The sequence below is a fragment of the Homo sapiens genome, chromosome 2, assembly GCF_000001405.40.
Source record: "Homo sapiens chromosome 2, GRCh38.p14 Primary Assembly".
In the NCBI taxonomy this organism is placed as follows: Eukaryota; Metazoa; Chordata; class Mammalia; order Primates; family Hominidae; genus Homo; species Homo sapiens.
Genome location: NC_000002.12, coordinates 87,254,255 through 87,277,046, shown reverse-complemented (window position 1 = coordinate 87,277,046; position 22,792 = coordinate 87,254,255). Strand labels below are relative to the sequence as shown.

General features: G+C 43.9%; 1 long non-coding RNA gene across 1 annotated transcript in view; it reads right to left on the bottom strand.

The window, feature by feature from the left end:
- The window catches only part of LOC107985908 (uncharacterized), a 66,991-nt gene extending 45,335 nt beyond the window's left edge, over positions 1 to 21,656 (bottom strand). Inside the window, exons 1-2 of the long non-coding RNA XR_001739577.3 lie at positions 20,538 to 21,656; positions 9,040 to 9,157 (exon numbers count right to left, since the gene is read on the bottom strand). This is a non-coding gene — a long non-coding RNA (uncharacterized LOC107985908). The remainder of the gene's footprint in view (positions 1 to 9,039; positions 9,158 to 20,537) is intronic.
- Between the last annotated feature and the right edge of the window lie 1,136 nt (positions 21,657 to 22,792).

Here is a 22,792-nt window from a genome sequence, read left to right as displayed (position 1 = left end):
GTTTGCAGAACAAGTTAAAGCTACTAAAAAGAAAGAAAGAAGAAAGAAAGAAAAGAAAGAAAGAAAGAGAAAGAAAGAAAGAAAACAGAAAAGGACACACACACACAAATGTAAACTATGACAGAGTAAGAGCCTGTTTACTTTTTAGGTTAAGTGACTGCCTCATGACAAATGTGGTAAATTTCGAAGTCAGGTGAGCTCATTCTATTTCAGATCAGATTTCTCTGGGCTGATGTTGGCCATCTTACAAAGTCAAGAGCAGCAATATCATGGTTCTGCCACCTTTCTCTCTGGGGCTTAGGGCATTTTTCTCTCTTCCCTTTAATCCAATGTGGGTAGGCAGGGATGGATGTAGGGAAATTGCTAGAGAGGAAAAGAAGGACTTCTCGCAAGCCAGTACAAAACCAAGACCTGGATTTTCTCTTTCCATTGCTTGGGTCACATTCTATATAAGCAAGAGTTGCTGATGATTTCGTCCACCTTCTTCACACAAAAGTAGCATTGGCTTACATGGGAGCTCAGGACTGCACAGACAGCTCTGGGGACAGACTAGGGGAGATAGCCGTGTGCACACAGCCTGCCGTGCTGCAGCCTGAGCCTGCCAGGTGGCCTTGTAGCATGGGCCAGAATGTGACCAACAGGCAGGGCTTCTGCCAACTTACTAGTCAAATGGTTGGCACAGAAATGAGCTGCTCATGTGAAAGCAGTCAATAGCCAGAAACTCACTGTAATCCACCCTCTACCCTATCCGTCCTCTGCCCCATCCCCATCTCACACAGTCTCAGCCACTTTCTCTCCTAGACCCCTGGCTGGACTGTTCTGAGGCCTGTGCTAAGTAAAGGTGGAAGACCTAGAGAGAAGTTCGAGGTCAGATACTGGCCTGGACATTGACCCAAAGCTGAGCAGTGGCATCCTGTGCAGGGGCTGCTTCTCAAGGGCATGTTCCATTCCTGTCCACACATTGTCAATTTGCATTGAGACATTTTTCTGGCAAAGAACAGGAAGGTGTCTTAGGATATGAATGCCTTTTTTCAATTTGCACAAAGGCCCCACAAGGGCTAACAGCAGTGCTGACTTTAACCACCACAGCCGGGTAGCTTCTGCCCAAAATAGCAGTGAAGAAACACACCACCCTCTGGGACTAGGTGGGGCTTCAGGAGAAAGGAAAATGTAAACAGATGTGTTCCTGTTGTCATCTCTGATATAAACAATTTGGCAGATCTATTCATTAGGAATTAAGTTTGGTCTATGGTAAGAGGGATCACAAACAAAGGGGGAAGAGCAACTTAAAAAGAGGATGGTTTATTCTCTCCATAAAAGACAGAAAGTGAGTAATCCAGGACTGATACAGTAGGTCCACAAGCTCATCAGGGATTGAGCTCCTTCCATCTTTCTGTTGCACCATCCTCAGCAAGTGACCTCCTCATTCAAGATCATCTGTGGTTCTGCCATCATATCCACATTCCAGAAAGAGAGAAAGAGGGGAGGTAAAAAGGGAGTTGCACCACCAACTAAATCAGCCTTTCTTAGGCAACATTCCCAGACTCCCCAGACTATACTCTCAATTAGGTCTCACTGATGGCATTCACCTGCAAAGGCAGCTGGGAAATGTAGTCTTTAAGCTGTGCGTGGCCACATCCTGGATTCTCTTGCCACCCTGGTGCCTGCCAAGCAGGAGTCTTTTCCATTTCCCTAGTGCGTGAAATTATCTCCTCCTTTTCAGCACTCACACAGACCACAGCCAAATGATAAGAAGCAGATTCAATATACAGAGCACAGCTAGGGAATCTGTCCCACTTGGAAAGGTTGGGACTCCTTTCTTCCATTAGCCAAGCAAACTTTTGACCTAGGAAACTAGATAAGGTAGAAACAAACAAAAAAAGTAATTGATCTGAGTGCTTCCACATTCGTTATTTCTTGAGCTCCTCAACACAGATCTGAGAGAGAAGCAATTATACTCACTTTGCAACTGGACATCAGAGGCTTTAAGAGCAAAGCGACCCTGTCTAGGATTCTGCTGTCAGGGTTGGCAATAAAACCCAAGGGCCATCTTGACTCAAAAACTTGCTACTAGTGGAAGCTAACATAAAAATTCAATTACAGTAACTAATAGGGAGTTAGTTGATAAAACCATGACTTTTAAAGCTATAACAAGAATTTCAAACAGTGTCCTAGCACATGGAGGACTCTGCTAGTATCAAAACCACCCAGTTGATGACCTAGCTAGTCTATAACAAACACAGTGCCCTCACAATGACATTTTTTCCTTTTCCTTATGAAGTCATTTACTAAAATTAAAGTCAGTAAAGGCATACCTCATTTTATCGCACTTCCCAGACATTGCATTTTTTACAAATTGAAAGTTTGTGATAACCCTGTGTCAAGCAATTGTATCAAGAGCATGTGCTCGCTTCCTGTCTCTGTTAAATTTTGGTAATTCTCACAATATTTTCAACTTTTTCATCGTTATGTCTGTATGGTGACATATGACATATGATCGGTGATCTTTGATGTTACTATTATAACTGTTTGGGGTACCATGCCCATATAAGATGGCAAATTTAATTGATAAAGGTTTCGTATGTTCTGACTGCTCCACTGACCAGCTGTTCTCCCATCTCTCTCCCTCTTCTCAAGCCTCACTGTTCTTTGAGACACAACAATATTAAAATTAGGTCCATAATAACCCTACAATGGCCTCTAAGTGTTCAAGTGAAAGGAGTCACACATCTGTCACTTTAAATCAAAAGCTGAAAATGATCAAGCTTAGTAGAAGGCATGTCAAAAGCCAAGACAGGCTGAAAGCTAGGCCTATTGCACCAAACAGCCAACTTGTGAATGCAAAGGAAAAGTTCTTGAAAGTAGTTAAAAGTGCTCCTCCAGTGAACACATGAACAGGAAAGTGAAATAGGCTTATCGCTGATATGGAGAAAGCGTAAGTGGTCTGGATAGAAGATCAAACCAGCCATGCTGCCTTAAGCCAAATCCTAATCCAGAGCAAGACACTAACTCTCTTCAATACAATGAAGGCTGAAAGAGGTGAAGAAGCTGCAGAAGAAAAGGTTGAAGCTAGCAGAGGATGGTTCATGAGGCTTATGGAAAAAAAGCTGTCCCCATCACATAAAAATGCAAGGTGGGCCTGGTGTGGTGGCTCATGCCTGTAATTCCAGCGCTTTGGGAGGCCGAGGCGGGCAGATCACCTGAGGTCAGGAGTTTGAAACCAGCCTGGCCACCAGGCATGGTGAAACCCCGTCTCTACTGAAAATACCAAAAATTAGCCAGAAGTAGTGGTGGACGCCTATGATCCCAGCTACTTAGAAGGCTGAGACAGGAGAATTGCTTGAACCTGGGAGGCAGAGGTTGCAGTGAGCTGAGATCACAGCATTGCACTCCAGCCTAGGCAACAAGAGTGAAACGTCAAAAAAAAAATTAAAAAAAAGGTGAAGCAGCAAGTGATGACATAGAAGCTGCAGCAAGTTATCCAGAAGATCTTGCTAAGATCATTGATGAAGGTGACCACACTAAACAACAGATTTTCAATGCAAGCAAAACAGCCTTCTATTGGAAGAAGATGCCATCTAGGACTTTCATAGCTGGAGAGGAGAAGTCAATGCCTGTTTCCAAAGGACAAGCTGACTCTTTTATTAGGGCGAATGCACCTGGTGACTTTAAATTGAAGCCAACGCTCATTCCAAAACTCCTAGGGCTTTTAAGAATTACATACTCTGTTTATTGTATTCTCTGATGGTAGTTTGTATTTCTGTGGGATCGGTGGTGATATCCCCTTTATCATTTTTTATTGTGTCTATTTGATTCTTCTCTCTGTTCTTCTTTATTAGCCTTGCTAGCAGTCTATCAATTTTGTTGATCTTTTCAAAAAACCAGCTCCTGGATTCATTGATTTTTTGAAGGGATTTTTGTGTCTCTATTTACTTCAGTTCTGCTCTGATCTTAGTTATTTCTTGCTTTCTGCTAGCTTTTGAATGTGTTTGCTCTTGCTTCTCTAGTTCTTTTAATTGTGAAGTTAGGGTGTCAATTTTAGATCTTTCCTGCTTTCTCTTGTGGGCATTTAGTGCTATAAATTTCCCTCTACACACTGCTTTGAATGTGTCCCAGAGATTCTGGTATGTTGTGTCTTTGGTCTCATTGGTTTCAAAGAACATCTTTATTTCTTCTGCCTTCATTTCGTTATGTACCCAGTAGTCATTCAGGAGCAGGTTGTTCCGTTTCCGTGTAGTTGAGCGGTTTTGAGTGAGTTTCTTAATCCTGAGGTCTAGTTTGATTGCACTGTACACCTCTATGCAAATAAACTAGAAAATCTGGAAGAAATGGATAAATTCCTCAACACATACACCCTCCCAAGACTAAACCAGGAAGAAGTTGAATCTCTGAATAGACCAATAACAGGCTCTGAAATTGAGGCAATAATAGCTTACCAACCAAAAAAAGTCCAGGACCAGATGGATTCACAGCCGAATTCTACCAGAGGTACAAGGAGGAGCTGGTACCATTCCTTCTGAAACTATTCCAATCAACAGAAAAAGAGGGAATCCTCCCTAACTCATTCTATGAGGCCAGCATACCAAAGCCTGGCAGAGACACAACAAAAAGAGAATTTTAGACCAATATCCCTGATGAACATCGATGCAAAATTCCTCAATAAAATACTGACAAACTAAATCCAGCGGCACATCAAAAAGCTTATCCACCATGATCAAGTGGGCTTCATCCCTGGGATGCAAGGCTGGTTCAACATACACAAATCAATAAATGTAATCCAGCATATAAACAGAACCAACGACAAAAACCACATGATTATCTCAATAGATGCAGAAAAGGCCTTTGACAAAATTCAACAACCCTTCATGCTAAAAACTCTCAGTAAATTAGGTATTGATGGGACGTATCTCAAAATAATAACAGCTATCTATGGCAAACCCACAGCCAATATCGTACTGAATGGGCAAAAACTGGAAGCATTTCCTTTGAAAACTGGCACAAGACAGGGATGCCCTCTCTCACCACTCCTATTCAACATAGTGTTGGAAGTTCTGGCCAGGGAAATCAGGCAGGACAAGGAAATAAAGGGTATTCAATTAGGAAAAGTGGAAGTCAAATTGTCCCTGTGTGCAGATGACATGATTGTATATCTAGAAAACCCCATCGTCTCAGCCCAAAATCTCCTTAAGCTGATAGGCAACTTCAGCAAAGTCTCAGGATACAAAATCAATGTGCAAAAATCACAAGCATTCTTATACAAACAGAGAGCCAAATCATGAGTGAACTCCCATTCACAATTGCTTCAAAGAGAATAAAATACCTAGGAATCCAACTTACAAGGGATATGAAGGACCTCTTCAAGGAGAACTACAAACCACTGCTCAGTGAAATAAAAGAGGATACAAACAAATGGAAGAACACTCCATGCTCATGGGTAGGAAGAATCAATATCATGAAAATGGCCATACTGCCCAAGGTAATTTATAGATTCAATGCCATCCCCATCAAGCTGCCAATGACTTTCTTCACAGAATTGGAAAAAACTACTTTAAAGTTCATATGGAACCAAAAAAGAGCCCACATTGCCAAGTCAATCCTAAGCCAAAAGAACAAAGCCGGAGGCATCACGCTACCTGACTTCACATTATACTACAAGGCTACAGTAACCAAAACAGCATGGTACTGGTACCAAAACAGAGATATAGACCAATGGAACAGAACAGAGCCCTCAGAAATAATGCTGCATATCTACAACCATCTGATCTTTGACAAACCTGACAAAACAAGAAATGGGGAAACGATTCCCTATTTAATAAATGGTGCTGGGAAAACTGGCTAGCCATATGTAGAAAGCTGAAACTGGATCCCTTCCTTACACCTTATACAAAAATCAATTCAAGATGGATTAAAGACTTAAATGTTAGACCTGAAACCATAAAAACCCTAGAAGAAAACCTAGGCAATACCATTCAGGGCATAGGCATGGGAAAGGACTTCATGTCTAAAACACCAAAAGCAATGGCAACAAAAGCCAAAATTGACAAATGGGATCTAATTAAACTAAAGAGCTTCTGCACAGCAAAAGAAACTACCATCAGAGTGAACAGGCAACCTACAGAATGGGAGAAAATTTTTGCAATCTACTCATCTGACAAAGGGCTAATATCCAGAATCTACAATGAACTCAAACAAATTTACAAGAAAAAAACAAACAACCCCATCAAAAAGTGGGCGAAGGATATGAACAGACACTTCTCAAAAGAAGACATTTATGCAGCCAAAAGACACACGAAAAAATGCTCATCATCACTGGCCATCAGAGAAATGCAAATCAAAACCACAATGAGATACCATCTCACACCAGTTAGAATGGCAATCATTAAAAAGTCAGGAAACAACAGGTGCTGGAGAGGATGTGGAGAAATAGGAACACTTTTACACTGTTGGTGGGACTGTAAACTAGTTCAACCATTGTGGAAGTCAGTGTGGTGATTCCTCAGGGAACTAGAACTAGAAATACCATTTGACCCAGCCATCCCATTACTGGGTATATACCCAAAGGATTATAAATCATGCTGCTATAAAGATACATGCACACGTATGTTTATTGTGGCACTGTTCACAATAGCAAAGACTTGGAACCAACCCAAATGTCCAACAATAATAGACGGGATTAAGAAAATGTGGCACATATACACCATGGAATACTATGCAGCCATAAAAAAGGATGAGTTCATGTCCTTTGTAGGGACATGGATGAAGCTGGAAACCATCATTCTCAGCAAACTATCGCAAGGACAAAAAACCAAACACCGCATGTTCTCACTCATAGGTGGGAATTGAACAATGAGAACACATGGACACAGGAAGGGGAACATCACACACCGGGGCCTGTTGTGGGGTGGGGGGAGGGGGGAGGGATAGCATTAGGAGATATACCTAATGTTAAATGATCAGTTAATGGGTGCAGCACACCAACATGGCACATGTATACATATGTAACTAACCTGCACATTGTGCACATGTACCCTAAAACTTAAAGTATAATAAAATAAATAAATTAAATAAATAAATAAATGAGTTACATACTCTGGCTGTGTTCTAAAAATGGAATAACAAAGCCTGGATGATAGCATCTATTTACAGCATGGTTTGTGGAATATTTTAAGCCCACTGTTGAGACCTGTTGCTCAGAAGAAAAGATTCCTTTCAAAATAGCACTCATCACTGATAATATGCCTGGTCACCCATCAGCTCTGAGGGAGATGTACAAGGAGATGAATGTTGTTTTTATGCCTGCTAATAAAACATCCATTCTGCAGCCCATGAATCAAGGCATAATTTTGACTTCCCAGTTTTATTATTTAAAAAATACATTTTGTAAGGTTATAGCGCCAAAAATAGTGATTCCTCTAATGGATGTGGGCAAAGTCAATTGAAAACCTTCTGGAAAGGATTCACCATGCTATATGTCATTAAAAACATTGATTCATGGGAGGAGGTCAAAGTATCAACATTAACATAAGATTGGAAGAAATCGATTCCAACCTTCATAGGTGGCTTTGCGGGGTTTGTGACTTTGGTGGAGGTAGTAACTGCAGATGTGTTGGAAATAGCAAGAGAACTAGAATGAGAAGTGGAGCCTGAAGATGTGACTGAATTGCTGCAATCTCATATTAAAACTTGAACAGACGAGGAGTAGCCTCTTATGAGTGAGCAAAGAAAGTGGTTTCTTAAGATGGAATTTCCTCCTGGTGAAGATGCTGTGAACATCGTTGAAATGACAAAAAAGGATTTAGAATATTCCATAAATTTAGTTGATAAAGCAGCAGCAGGGTTTGAGAGGCTTGATTCCATTTTTTTGAGAGAAGTTCTACTGTAGGTAAAATGCTATCCCAAACAGCATTGCATGCTACAAATAAATCTTTCCTGACAGTAAAAGTCAACTGATGTGTCAAACTTCATTGTTGTCTCATTTTAAGAAATTGCCACAGCCACCCCAAGCTTCAGTAACCGCCACCGTGGTCAGTCAGCAGCCATTAACACGGAGGCAGGACTCTCCTTCAAGCAAAAAGATTATTACTCACTAAAGGCTCAGATGACCTTTAGCATCTTTTAGCAATAAGGTATCTTTTAATTAAGGTATGTATGTTTCTTAGACAGATAAGGAGTGGTTATTGCACACTTAATAGACTACAGTATAATGTACATAACTTTTACATGCACTGGAAAACCAAAGAAATTGTATAAATTGCTCTATGGTGATATTTGCTTTATTGCAGTGGTGTGGAATTGAACCTTCCATATCCTCAAATATGCCTGTATGTAAATGTCTTTTGTTCACTGCACATTCAGTGGCTTAAACATGAAGGAAATGTTCATCTTACATTATTAACATGAAAAAATGTTTGTTATCATTTTGTTAAGGAAATCAGGATCTCCCAAGTGCTGGCTCAGAAAAATATTGACACAAGAATTTCCCTTTGTTGCACTGGCCCATATTTATAATCTTCAGACTGATCTCTTACTTTCTTACAACCGCCCCCTCACCTCCTTAATCTGGTGGCACTGGGCCTGTTTAACAAGAAACCAAGAACAAGGAATAAAGGTTTTGCATGGTCTCATTCTCTTCTCCAGGCTCCATGGCCAGCCCAGTCCCATTCTCCAGACTCAGGGTCTACATCCTTCCCACTCAATAAAACTAAAGCGGCACCAACAGCTGATACATTCAGCAGCCAGGGACAAAACCACTTCTAGCTGTGAATTCCATCCAGTCACACACAGGGTGCAGCTGCAGCCCACATCTGCAAACTCTGCATTCCGAAACCCTTTGTATATATACTTCCTAGGGACTCAGACAGTGGGCCCCAGGGGCAAGAGGACTTGTCCTTCCCAAGGTCACAGGGTTCATTGCAGGGCCTTCTTCCCCCGTCTTTCTCAGGCTGCTAGGACTTTCAACACAGTTGTGATCTCCTTCCTCCTACACCCACCTCCTTTCACCCGGTGTCCCTCCTTCCCTGCCGCTTCTTCCTTACTCACCTCCTGTCCAGGAGACTGTTAGTGTTGGTTCAGGCCAGGCTCTCCACACGTCTCATCCTGGGCACACTCTCTAAATGAATCCAGGTTCCTTGAGCCAGTAGCACCTCCATTTCTTCAGCTGCAAAATGATTCTTGTTAGCACACCTATCTTACAGGGACTTTCTAAGATAAGAAAATGTGTATAAAATGCTTTAGGACAATGGCAGACCGGCAGCAGCAGATATCACCTGTTAACATTAAACCCCTGGTTCCCATCTGATTTGGATGGGTTGGGTTGCAATGTCTGTGAGATTTCCACATGGAAGAGACAAGAAGGGAATAGGATTTTCCTAGAAGAGTGGTCTAGGCTACAGATACACCCGGAATGAGGTCATTAATGGAAGGATAGCCTGCCCTTATGACTGGGTGCCTTACATACTACATTAGTCAGGGTTCTCCAGAGAAACAGAAACAACAGGACATGTAGAGAAATATAAGAGATTTATTATGGGACTTCATTCACCCAATTACCCAGGCTGAGAAGTTCCATAATCTTCTGTCTGCAAGCTGGAGGCCCAGGAAAACCTCCAGCTTGCAGACAGTGAACTGATGTAACTCAGTTCAAGTCTAAAGGGGAGGTGATGTATAAGCCCTGTTGTGTTAGTCCATTTTCATACTGCTATGAAGAAATACCTGAGACTGGGTAACTTATAAAGAAAAAGAGGTTTAATGGACTCACAGCTCCACATGGCTGAGGAGGCCTCACAGTCATGGAGGAAGGCAAAGGAGGAGGAAAGGCATGTCTTACACAGTGGCGGGCAAGAGAGCATGTGCAGCGGAACTGCCTTTTATAAAACTATCAAATCTCGTGGGACTTACTCACTATCACTAGAACAGCATGGGAAAACCAGCCCCCATGATTTAATTACCTGCCACTGTGTCCCTCCCATGACACATGGGGATCTTGGGAGCCATAATTCAAGATGAGATTTGGGTGGGGACACAGCCAAACCATATCACCTTGTCTGAGCCCAAAGGCCAGAGAACCAGGAGCACCAATGTCCGAGGGCAGGAGAAGATGTGCAATCAAGCAGGGAGAGTGAATTTGCCCTGTCTCTGCCGTTTTGTTCTATTCAGGCCCTCAGTTGGATAATGCCCACCCACACTGGTGAGGGTAATCTTCTTTACTCAGTCTACTGATTCACATGCTAGTCTCTTCTGGAAATGCCTTCACAGACACACCCCAAAGCAATGTTTACCAGCTATCTGGGCATCCCTTAGCCCAGTCAAATTGACACATGCAATTACCCATTACATACACGTTGCCTCTGCTCCCTTCCGCATCCCCTCAGCTCAGTAAACAGCATCGCCATGCACCTAAATGTTCTGCCTAGAGCCTAGGAGTTGCCCTTAAGTGCTCCCTCTCCCTGTCTCTCACATTTCCTCCATCAACAGATTCCACTCTCTCTTCTAGAACGTGGCCATCACCATGGTCCCAGCCTCTTACCAAAACTGACAAGCAGTCTCCTGCCTCCATTCCCAATCCCTCCAGCCCACTGTCCACACAGCTCCTTAAGCCTAAGCCAGATCATGACATCCCTCTGCTTACAATCTTTCAGTAACGTTGCACTGGATGTAGTAGGAAACCCAAAACCCTCACCATAGCTGGTTTACAAGGCTCTGCACACTCGTGCCCCACTCATCTCACATCCTCCCCTGTGCTACTCTCCACTCCTGAGTAAGCTGCGACCACACCAGCTGCTCAGGGAGCCTCAGGGCCTCTGCCCTGGCTGTTCTCTCCACCTCGCGCCCTCACATGCCTCCCCACCCTCCTCTCCCACAGCCACCTCATTCTTATCCTTTCCATTCCAGCATGCATGTTGCCCTCTGCAGAGTGGGCTTCCTGCGTCACCCCATAGGAAGTAGATCTTCTCCCTCTCTGTCATGACTGAATGTCTGTGCCCACCCCAAAATGCATATGTTGAAGCCCCAAGCCTCAGTGTGATGTGATTTGGAGATGAAGCCTTCGTGGAGATAATTAAGGTCAAATGAGGTCATAAGGATGGGGTCCAATAAGATTAACATCCTTGTAAGAAGAGATATCAAAGCACTCTCTCTCTCTCTATCTGCTCAAACACTGAGAAGAGGTCATGTGAGCATACAGTGAGATGTGGCTGCCTACAAGCTAAAAGAAGAGGCTTCAGAATAAAACTTGCTGACACCTTGATCTCTGACCTCCAGCCACCAAGAGCATGTGAAATCAGTGTCTGTTGTTTTAGCCTCCCAGTAGATGGTATTTTGCTATGGCAGCCCACCTAAGACACACCCTCATCCTCATTCTCCCTTCAAGGCAGTGGTTCTTACATGTAATTAGTGTCTCTGCCCACTTACATAGTCTTTGCCTATCTCCCACCACTGGAACATAACTCTGAGGTCATCGTCACTTTCCTCAGGCCTAGCACAGGGCCTGGCACATAATAAGTGTCCACAGAACAAATCAGTGACTCAATGAATCCATCAAAGACTACATACTTCTAGAAAGGGATGGAAGGAATTGAACCCACCCCTCATACCCAGAAAGGCATCCTGAACAAAGGAGCCACTCTTCCCAGGATAGACTCTGCAATAACTACCCTCTAAAGCACACATATTTATCTACTTCTTGGTTTAGATCCCATCTTGTCCCAAAATGAATTTAAGTGAGTTTATCAAAATATAAACAATACAACAGAATAAATAACAGAGAAGGAAAAGAAAAATAAGAGAAAGCCACTTAGGTGACAGCATGCATGCCATGGTCACTTGCTCTGGGCACCCCAGCAGCCATGGCAAAGAAGGTAGTTCAGTGAGATGTACAATTCAGATTATCCATGAGATGCAAAGAAAGAGTTCTTTGTAAGAAGCATCTTTCTTTCTTTTTTTTTTCTTTTTTTTTTTTTCTTTTTTTTTTTTTTTTTGAGATGGAGTTTCGCTCTTGTTGCCCAGGCTGGAGTGCAATGGCGCAATCTCGGCTCACCACAGCCTCCACTTCCCAGGTTCAAGTGATTCTCCTGCCTCAGCCTCCCGAGTAGCTGGGATTACAGGCATGTGCCACCACGCCCAGCTAATTTTGTATTTTTTTGGTAGAGACAGGGTTTCTCCATGTTGGTCAGGCTGGTCTCAAACTCCCAGCCTTAGGTGATCTGCCCACCTCAGCCTCCCAAAGTGCTGGGATTACAGGCGTGAGCCACCGAACCCGGTCGTAAGAACCATCTCTTAATGAGCCAGATCAGCTCAGCACTGAGGTCATGGAGGAATCCCCACAGTCCTCCCATGGTAGATGGGTCCTGATCAGCAACCTTAAAGAAGATTCAAGAAAGGGTTTCAGGCAGCTCTTCCTCCCAAGTTGCCTGAAGGCAACTCACAGCAATGCCTCACAAAGCAGGATGAGCTGCTCTATGGGCAGCAGAACAGTGAGTCAGTAATGCACTTTGTGCTCCTATAATTCTATATCTCCACATAGCCTACATCGTTATAAAGTAAACTTCCCTTTGCCTTCACAAAGCCAACCCTTGCAGCTGGTAATGGCTTAGAAAGTGAGACCCCAGCATGAGTGGTTTATTCCAAAGATGACAGATACCCAGCAGTTACAGCATCTGTGGGTGTTTTCATGGGTTGGGCAGCCACTGTAGCTTCTGGAGTCTGCAGTTCAAACGAACTCCTCTCCCAGCACAATCTTGCCCATCACCCATCCTATCCTGAAGATGGTCTCCTACTCAATTGCACACTACCCAGGCTGTGGTGACAATTATGTTTCCTCTTAAACACTGCCAACACATCCTTTGAAATGTTTTAAGAGGTTATTATCTTTTAATAGGGTGGACCAAACCCAGGAAGAGCTTGGACGCTGTAAACAGTTGGCTGTCTCTGACCTTATCTTGCCTGTGTTTGCTTTCCTGTCCTACTGGGGAATTCCTGCGCTGCAGCTGCAGTCTTTAGCTTCAACTGCAGGGGGCTGGGTGCTGCTGCCCTGCTGCCTCTTGCTCCAGGTGCACAGCCAAAAAGTGGCATCCTACAGCATGCCCAGAAAGCAACACAGGTGTGTCCCATGTCTGCTGTGCTCCTTATCCATGCTTACATAGATGCAAGGAGTTTGAAAGAGCCCTAAGGAAGCAGTGAGATGGGATAAACCACCAAAGAGCTTTTGTGGCCAGATGTATGTGGAAACAAAAAGGAATATGAAAGGTTTCCTTGGGCCATTTCTATTTCATTTCAGACCTCCCTGACTTCACAATCCGTAAGATCCACCCTGTGTCTGCATTTTCTGTAGCTTTCGTCCCAAACTCATGAAACCAGGCTTCTAATCCCGAATTTGCAAAAGCTATTCTGCCAGCCAAGATGAAGTCTCTCTATTTTTCTGGGATTCTAGCCTTGCTCATTTATCCTTCCCTGTCATTCCCCGACATACTTTCCTTCTTCTGATAAATTCTTTTTCTAGTCCCCTGAGCTCCTGGCCTGTCTGACATCTCTTCATTCCCTTCCCAAGAAACTGTTTAATTAGATGGCAGAGCATGACAAGAACAGGGATTCTGGAGCCAGATGGCTGGAGCTCACAATCCTGGTTCTGCTACTCACTTGCTGTGAAACTTTGGACATGTTACTTAACTCCTCTGTGCCTCAGTTTCCTCAGATGTAAAAAGGCTAATAACACCACCTCCATCATAAGGTAGTATGATAGAGAAGCTTGTGAGTGAGTCTCTTGTCTCTCTTCCCCACTACAGAGGCTAAAGAAACCCCATGTTCCAGAATGCACAGCCTAAAGAAGAAGGTAGCCTGTCAGCCTTGAATCCTGAGTGACTGTACAGAGCAGAGCACCACCTTGTAGGACAGACAGCATTCACAAGCAACCAACCTTTGCTCCGTTAAGCTACTGAGATTCTGGGAAAATTTGTTATTGCAGCAAAACTTAGTTCAGCTTGACTAATAATGGAACCACTTGTATGGCTGTAATTAAATACCAGTTAAAATTGAATACCTAAGTAGATAACTTATTCCTCCTCCAGGAGATGAGATCCCAAAGCGGCAGGCTCACTCTCTGTATTCCCTCCAGCTCCTGGCACCTGGCCTGGCACACAGGAGGAGCTGCATGAGTGTTTGTTGAGTGACAACTGCAAAAGTTTCCAGGCCCTTCTCCTCCATCATGTGCTGCATCTGGCAGCTTCCAGGCTCACCCAGCCCCTGCACCCAAGGATAAAGTTGTTCCAAGGCGGGGCAGTACAACCAGCATGAGAACACATTAGCAGCTCCTCTGCAACACACACATACAGAAACACACAGAGGCACACATGCACACACATAGGCACACAGAGGGACATACATGTATGCACGTGCACACAGAGACAACACACACAGAGAAAGAGACACAGAGAGACACACACAGAGACACACAGAGGCACACACGCACACACATAGACACACAAAGAGACATACACGCACAGGCACACACACACACAGAGACACACACACAGGACACACAGAGACACACACACACACACACACACACACACACAGGCAGAGCATGAGCCCTGCACTTATTACTTCTGAGAAACAGGTGGGAAGAAAACCAGAGTGTTTGGGTCTGATCACTGTTCCTTCCTCCCATTCAACAGGGCAGTGAGTCACCACCTGCACAAAAGGACTCAGGCCTCCATATCAGGCAGAATTTGGCTGTGATGGCCAATCTCCATTGCTTTCCCTTGTCTTCTCAAGCCATGCTCAGAGAGTAAACCTTCAAGCATGATTAGAGGCTGGGGGCAGAGAGGTCCCCACTGGTATCAGTGACAGCCACGTCTCACAGCACTTCCCTTTCAGGAAGGGGACCCTCCCTCCCCTGCCCTCTACAGCTTCAAGCGGTCACTGGCCTGGACAGAAGCAAATCTGGACTAAGTCCTGGGAAAGCCCCAAATTTTGGAGCACTCTGGCCCTGAGCTCAGGTCCAGGATTCATTTTTCACAGGCATGCTTTATTATTCCCCGTGGGGAGCCAGGTTTCCATCCCTTGTCATTCCTGAGGAAGGAGAACGTGCCGGGATTGCAGTCGCACGGTGTGCCTGTATCTCTTTTCCTATAAAACAACTCTGAGTACCTGAGTTATGCACCTTATCAGAGACCATGTGCTGGATGATTTTAAATTATTACCCCCCAAATACGTATATATATTATGCCAAGAAACCATCAACAGTAAATTACCTCCTGTTCCAAGGGCCAGAACATGGTTACTGTCACCATGCAAGTCATTCACATAAAATTCAGAATGTCTCACACTTTATCTTGGAAATTTACACAATTTATTAATCTTTATAGCCCGAAAGGCAAAAAGATATATATTTTAAGTGCATGTCTTGTTATTACCGACCCAACTGGCCATGTGAAATGACTCAGATTTATTATCATGTCCAGTTACCAGCATTTATGGCAACTTTTAAACATGTCATTTCACTGTGGACACCTCATGGTTCGGGACACTTTGGGACTTTAGTGAGTAACTCTCATTTCAGGAGCAGAACAAATAAATGATTTAAGTACTTTTGCAGCTTATTGGAAAGAGAATTTGAAATTCACTTGAGGAGACTGTTAACCATGGATCACAGAAATGTAGGGAAGGAGCAAGCTCTCCCCAAATTTATGTCTCTTTCCATATGGGAATAACAGGAGAAGTTCCCTTTGCCAAATAGAGGTTCCCACGCCCCCCAGCGTGTACCTCTGCTCTGTCAGGCAGGTTTAAGACAATAGCATTCAATTGTGTCCCTAGTTGCTAAAAAGAAAGTTAATACTGAGAAATGGAAAAGGAAGTTTGGGTTTCTTTAAAAACATTCTTCAATGCTGTTTACTATTCAACAAGTATAAATAAATAAAACAGTCCTCACTGTGCATGGAATTCGCCTCTGCTCATGATAAAACCCAGAGATGGTTTTTAAAATACCATTACTTATTGAAAAAGAACAAGGGTCCTCAGGCCTCAAACTCTGTATATTCTAATGTACATGCCAAGCTTGGTCAAGCAGGCAGAAGCCATGGTCAGGTCTCCCTTCACCCCTCCCCTTCCTTCAGGCCCACATGTCCAGCCTGCCCTGGAATTCTGGATCCTTCCTTTGTGCATTTGTCCTTTCTCTCTCCTGTGCCTTCATACAGTGTACTCTGCCACCCAACCAATCTTCCAAAAAGTTGGCTCTATGAGGTCATCTCCAAGCTCAGACACCTTCCAGGCTTCTCACTGCCTAGGCCCAGAAGACCAAGTTGAAATCTGTTTGTCTGCCTCAAGGCAGACATCGCCTCTGACTGTGTCTGTCTCTAGTCTTACATCCCATCATTCCCCAGCAAGAGACATCTGCTCCATGAAACCCAGTGAAATCCAACTCACAGCTGCTCCAGACTTTGCTTATAACACACCCACAAACTGAATGCCCAATCCTTTCTAAAGTCTCCCTGTCCTACCTGATAAGATTCGGAGAACCCCTCAGCCCTCCCTGAACAGGACTGCCCCACTCCTGTGGGCCTCTGCAGACATATAGGCCCGAGGCAGGACGGCTGTCTTCTGGGCACCAACCTCTCTCTCATCTACCCTCCATAACCCATGCTGGACACTTAGCCTCATGCTGCATTTCATCATTCTGCATATGGCATCTCTCCTTTATGGGATTGTACACCTAAGGGCAGCTACCAAGTCCCACACATAATTATCCTTCCGGGGTTCCAGCCCAATGCTAACAAAGGGTAGGTTCTGCAAAAATAGATTTTGAAAGACACAACTAAATGTATCTGAAAAAATAAAAGACTCAGGTCATAAGCTAGAAAAAGTAATGCAAACTCATTCATTTCATAGAATTCTGGGAAGAGTTCATACATGTTATTTTTCTTTAAAAGCCACTCTAGTGTGGAATTGTGTTCACCTTCCCTGAAGGGCTGGGGAGGAGCTGGCTGGGAAGATATATACTGTGACGTCTATGGAAGAGATGCTTCAGGTCTAGGAGTGACCGCTCCCTTGCCTGTGCCCCTAACCTACACCTCTCATCTAAAGGGTGTCTGCGGCAATACATCTGTGAGGTTCCAGAAGCCCGACACATGCTATGAGTTCAGCAGTGACTTGAGGGGGGCAGGCAGCAGACTGGCTTTCTCTAATGGGGGTGAAGATGGCTGAGTGCTATGGGCTAATGAGAATGCGTATGTATTTGCGTTTTTAAAGCCATCCAGCAAGACTGGTAAACACTCTGTTTCTTTTAGGTGCAGTCGGTTGTTCCTTCTCTGATTCCAGGAGACAATCGTTTGGGGCCAGTTTCAAAACCCAGCATTCACAACTCTCTCTGCTCAGTCCCCGAGGGCTAGCCCTGTTGAAGAGGAAAAGTAAAACCCCCTTTCCCTCTGTGCTTCCCCTTCATGTGTCAATAGGGTCTTGTGGCCTCACCAAGGTAAGTTGAAAATAGAGCCAGAAGGATGCCTCCACTTTCATGCCTGAGGAGACAGCGAGCCCATGAGCAGGCATCACGGCTTCCAACCCAGAGACAGCAAGGACTGCTGGCAACCGGGCGTCAGGAGACCAGACCAAAGCACAGGCTACTTCTCATCGTAAACAGCAGGCAGTCTATTTACCACAACGAATGAGTGACAAGCCAAGGAAACAAAAAGAGAAGAGAAGAGGATCATCAAAGAAAATCTGTAATTAAAAATAAATACTTCACAATGTGACTCCAAGAAGTTTATGGCTGAGGCGGCTTTCACGGGCACCTATGAGTGTCCACAGACAGCCTGGAATTGTGTCTTTAAATGTGAGATGTTCGTGTATGTGAAAGGGCCAACTGGACTTTCCTCCCCCAAAAGGCACACTGTTCTGGATATGACACTTTCAATGACCTCTTGTGTTAGTCTGCTAGGGCTGCCCTAACAAAGTACTGCAAACCAGGTGGCTTCGACCACAGAAATGCTTACACAACCACCTGCAGGCTGGAAGTCCAGGAACAAAGTGCCAACAGGGTTGGTTCCTTCCGAAGCTGCGAGGAAAACCTATTCAATGCCTCGCATCTCACTTCTGGTGGTTTGCTGGTGACCTTTAGTGTTCCTTGGTGTGGAGATGCATCACACTGATCTCCACCTTCATTTTCACACAGAATTCTCCTGAATGCATCTGTCTGTATCGGCATTTTCCCTTTTTAGAATGACCAGTAGTAATACGGATTAAGGCCCACCCTACTGACCTCATCTTAATTTGATCATCTGCAAAGACCCTACCTATATCCAAATAAAGTCACATTCACAGATATAAAGGGTTAGGAATTCAACAGCTTCTAGAAGACAATTCAACTCCTAACACCTCTCAAACATGAAATGTTTCTATGAATAGCATCATTGATGGTATTACTTGACAGAGGAACAGATAGAGTCAGATGACAAAGGCCTCTCCAACAGCCATCAGTTTCATTCAGATCTGGACACAAGCAGGAAAAGTGGTGTGAACAACAGCTAAGCAGCACAAAGAATCAAGACTTGGGTGTGAGATTCTGCCTTGGTCTTCAGCCATGTAGATGTGAGCCCCACCCCACTCTCATCCCACCCAAGTGCCACTGTTATAGCTTGGGAGCTCAGAATAAAGCCAGACAGTCAGAGTAGGGGAGAGATTTTCCAACATAACTCAGGCCCTGATGTTTCTTAATTTTCCCTGAAAGAGAAAATATCTTCCTAAAAGAATAAAAGACTTAAAAGTAACTTGATGTTAAGACACGCCATAAACTATGAGAGTAATTTCTCACTTGTTCCTTCCTCCTGTTTTTTTTAATCCAAGACCCTCCTAGAAATACAAGAGGACTTTAGGAAGTTCATGGAAAATGGAATCAAAAGATAAAAATGAAAAATATCAACTTTATAAACTGTATTACTCAATATAAGCTCCATCAAGTTCAAAACAATTTTGTAAGTGATGATACCACCCATTTAGTCCATTCTTAAAATATTGAGGGTCCTGAGAATTTAACCATATCAATACAGTCTTTTTACATTATTAACTGAAGAAAATGGATGCCTTTTAATTATTTTGTTTTAATTAGGAAACAAAAAGAAGTCAGAAGAAGCAAAATCAGAACTGCAAGTTGGATACCCAATGATTTTCTATTGAAATTCACAAAATTGCCCTTACTTAATGAGAGGAATGAGCAGAAGCATTGTCAGGGTGGAGAAGGACTCTCTGCTGAATTCTTCAGTGGCATTTTTCTGCTAAAGCTTTGGCTAACTTTCTCAAAACACTCTCATAATAAACAGATGTTATCATTCTTTGGCTCTACAGACAGTCAACAGCAAAATGCCTGGAGTATCCCAAAAAACTCTTGCTGTGACCTGTGCTCCTGACTGGTCTGCTTCTGCTTTGACTGGAAAATGTCCACCTCTTGGTATCCATTGCTTTGATTGTGCTTTGTCTTCAGGATTGTACTGGTAAAGCTATGTTTCGTCTCCTATTACAATTATTTGAAGAAATCCTTCAGGATCTTCATCCTACTTGTTTAATTTTCATTGAAAGATCTGTTCTTGTCTGCAGCTGATCTGGGTGCAATGGTTTTGACACCCATTGAGTGGAAAACTTAACTTTAATTTTTCAGTCAGAATTGCATAAACTGAACCAACTGAAATGTCTGTTAATCATCAGGTCTTTTCAATTAGGGCATGGTTAATTTTTTCCTTGCAAATTGACATGAATGGTCTGCCACCACAGGCTTCATCTTCAACATCAACTTCTCCCTTTTTTTTTTTTTTTTTGAGACAGAGTCTTGCTCTGTCACCCAGGCTGCAGTGCAGTGGCATGATCTCGGCTCACTGCAACCTCTGCCTCCTGGGTTCAAGTGATTCTCCTGCCTCAGCCTCCCGAGTAGCTGGGATTACAGGTGCCTGTCACCACACCTGGCTATTTTTTTTTTTTTTTTGTATTTTTAGTAGAGATGGGGTTTCACATGTTAACCAGGCTGGTCTTGAATTCCCGACCTCAAGTGATTCACCTGCCCCAGGCTCCCAAAGTGTTGGGATTACAGGCATTAGCCACTGTGCCCAGCCTCAACTTCTCCCTTCTTAAAAGAAGTTATCTATTTGTAAACTGCTGATTTGGGGGAAGGGGGTATTGTCTCCATAAGCTTTTCACAAAGCATCAATGAGTTCACTATACTTCCCCTCAAGCTTCACTATAAATTTGATGTTTGTTCTTACTTCAATTTTAGCAGAAATTCACATTGCTCTGATAGAGGCTCTTTTCAAACTGATGTATTATCCTTCTTAGTGCCTCAAACTAGATTGTGCATGAACATGTTATAAAAAGGTAGTACAAATCAATTTTGGTGCAAAAAATTTGAAATCCAGCATAGTTTTTTCATAATATGCATTTCCTATGAACTTTTTGAAGAGCCCTCAGACAGCCTCTCACACAGCTACTCCACATCCTTGAGGATCAGAGATCAAGGCATCAGCAGGGTTGGTGGCTTCTAAGGGCTGTGAGGGAGAAACCTTTTATACCTCTCTCCTGGCTTCTGGTGGGTTGCTCACCATCTTCAGCATTCCATGTCTTGGAGCTGCATCACTCTGATCTCTGCTTTCATCTCCAGATGACGTTCTCCCTGGATGTATACAGCTCTGTGTCCAGATTTTCCCTCTATATAAGGACATCGGTCATATTGAATTAGGACCCACCCTAAAGACCTCCTTTTCCCCTAATTACCTCTATAAATACCCTCTCTCCAAATAATGTCACATTCTGAGGTACTAGGGGTTAAGATTTCAACATATGGATTTGACAAGTATGTAATTCAACCCATAGCACCCTATGTCCAAACTGCACTAGCCCTGGGGATAGATAAATAAATAAAACATGATACAGGGAACGAAGCACTCACTGGCCGTTGGGAAAAACTCACAGCTATGTCCCTCTCTGTTATCACCTTTGTAAGCACATGAAACTGACATGAGACTCTTGCAAGTCCAGATGCCTAGGACCCAAAGAATCTACCTCTGGGATAACACATTTTTCAACAGGTAACCAGGTAAGGTTAGGGGATGGTTTCAGATTTCTCAGGTTGAAAACTTAGGAGTATGTAAAAAATAGCATCTAGGAGTATGTAAACCATAGAGTCCAACAGCACAGAGGAGGGAGGCACTCAGGTGACCAAACCTTCCTAACCCAGTGTGAGAGCAGCCATAATCGATGATGGAACACAGGAGACAGAGCCGCTTCTCCTGCTCCAGGAAGGAGGAGGCTGCCAGGTAACGCTGGGAGACTGCGCTGGAGCTACTCCGCAGACAAAGTGCCGGAGTTCGAAAGGGGCACAGGCTAAGGACACTCCGGGCGGAAAGAGCAGCCAAGCTGCGGAACAAGACGTCCCAAGCGTGTTTCTGAGAACCTTGATTTTGCACCTTGTTTCAGACACTTTCTTGTCACTGAGCTGGTGTAGGTGGGAAGTGAAAGTGTAAAATACGGTGGTTTCCGAAATAGGGTGTTTATACACCTAAAAAGTTTTGAAAACTCCTTGATAGGCTATTTTTTAAAAATTAAGTAAAATAATCTAACAAAGTTTCTTAACTTCTCAACATTTCAACGAAACCCCAAGAGTATGTAAGGTGGGTTCATTTTTACTAATATATTTTGGAATTTTCTGCCACATAAGGGACCTAAATGTAGAAAAAAAAAAAAACAACCTAAAATTTAATGTGCATTATATTAAAAGGAAAAAAAATCTCTCTTTATCCTCCTTTCTCTCTTCTTCCCCTTAAGTAGACATGGCGGGATTTCTTGAGCTGTTGACTGGGCTCTTCTCCCTCTCCCAGGCCACATAACTTGGTCATTCATTTCCTGTTCCCTGCTTCAGCCAAAGGCAATTTGCAGAGAGCAGAGGAAAATGGAGGTCTTCACCTTTACCTTTGAGAGCAAAGCTTCAGCCCCGGGTTAAGACCAGGGCTCAGGAAGAATATTTGGCCTTTCAAAGCAAATCTTTGGCCTCAGCAGCACAGAGGCCTCCTGAGTAGGGGGGAGGGGTATGGAGAGGCTGCAGTGTCCTGGGAAGGGCCTGTGCCCATGAAGTGGGCTTCATCCCCACTTTGTGCAGTTTGTGCAGAAAGATAGCCTCAGACAAAGTCCAGAGTGGCAGCAAAACCCTGAAGTTCCCTTGGAGAGGCAGGCTGCGCAAATGCCTATTTGGTGATTCAGAATCAACAAGCCAGGCCCAAATTTACATGGGCTCCCTCCAGGATGGGTGAGAGCTCCCAAGAGCTTCATGGGAGGTCCCAGTGGGTGGCTGTGGCCTGGAGAGAGTAGGATTGAAGCAGAGCTGGGGTGGAGTCAGAACAAGAGACAACAGCAGTGAACAGCAGGCTCTGACAACCAAAGACCAGAAAGGAGAGCATCTCCCAGCCCCCAAGGGGAGCAATGCCAGCCCCCAGCATCAGACACATCTGCAGGAAAAGCAGGGGACTTCAGCTAACCAAGAATAATGTTCCTTTACCCAGACAGAATTGAGCCTGGGAAATTAGATAACGCTAAAGGGAAGCCAACATGCATTTTCTGCACACCTGGCTTCTGGGTCTAAGATTTTTGTCTGCTCCTAAAATGCAAGCCTTGTTGAATTGGTGTGGGCTTCTCCTTAATCGCTGGGTAAAGCAGAGGGCTGGGGCACAGCCATATGCAGTAATCAGCCTGCCCTTAACCAAAGGGCCCGAGGAAGAGGTGAGACCAAAGAAGGTGAATCACAGATTCAAAAGCGAAGCAAATAAAAGCAGTG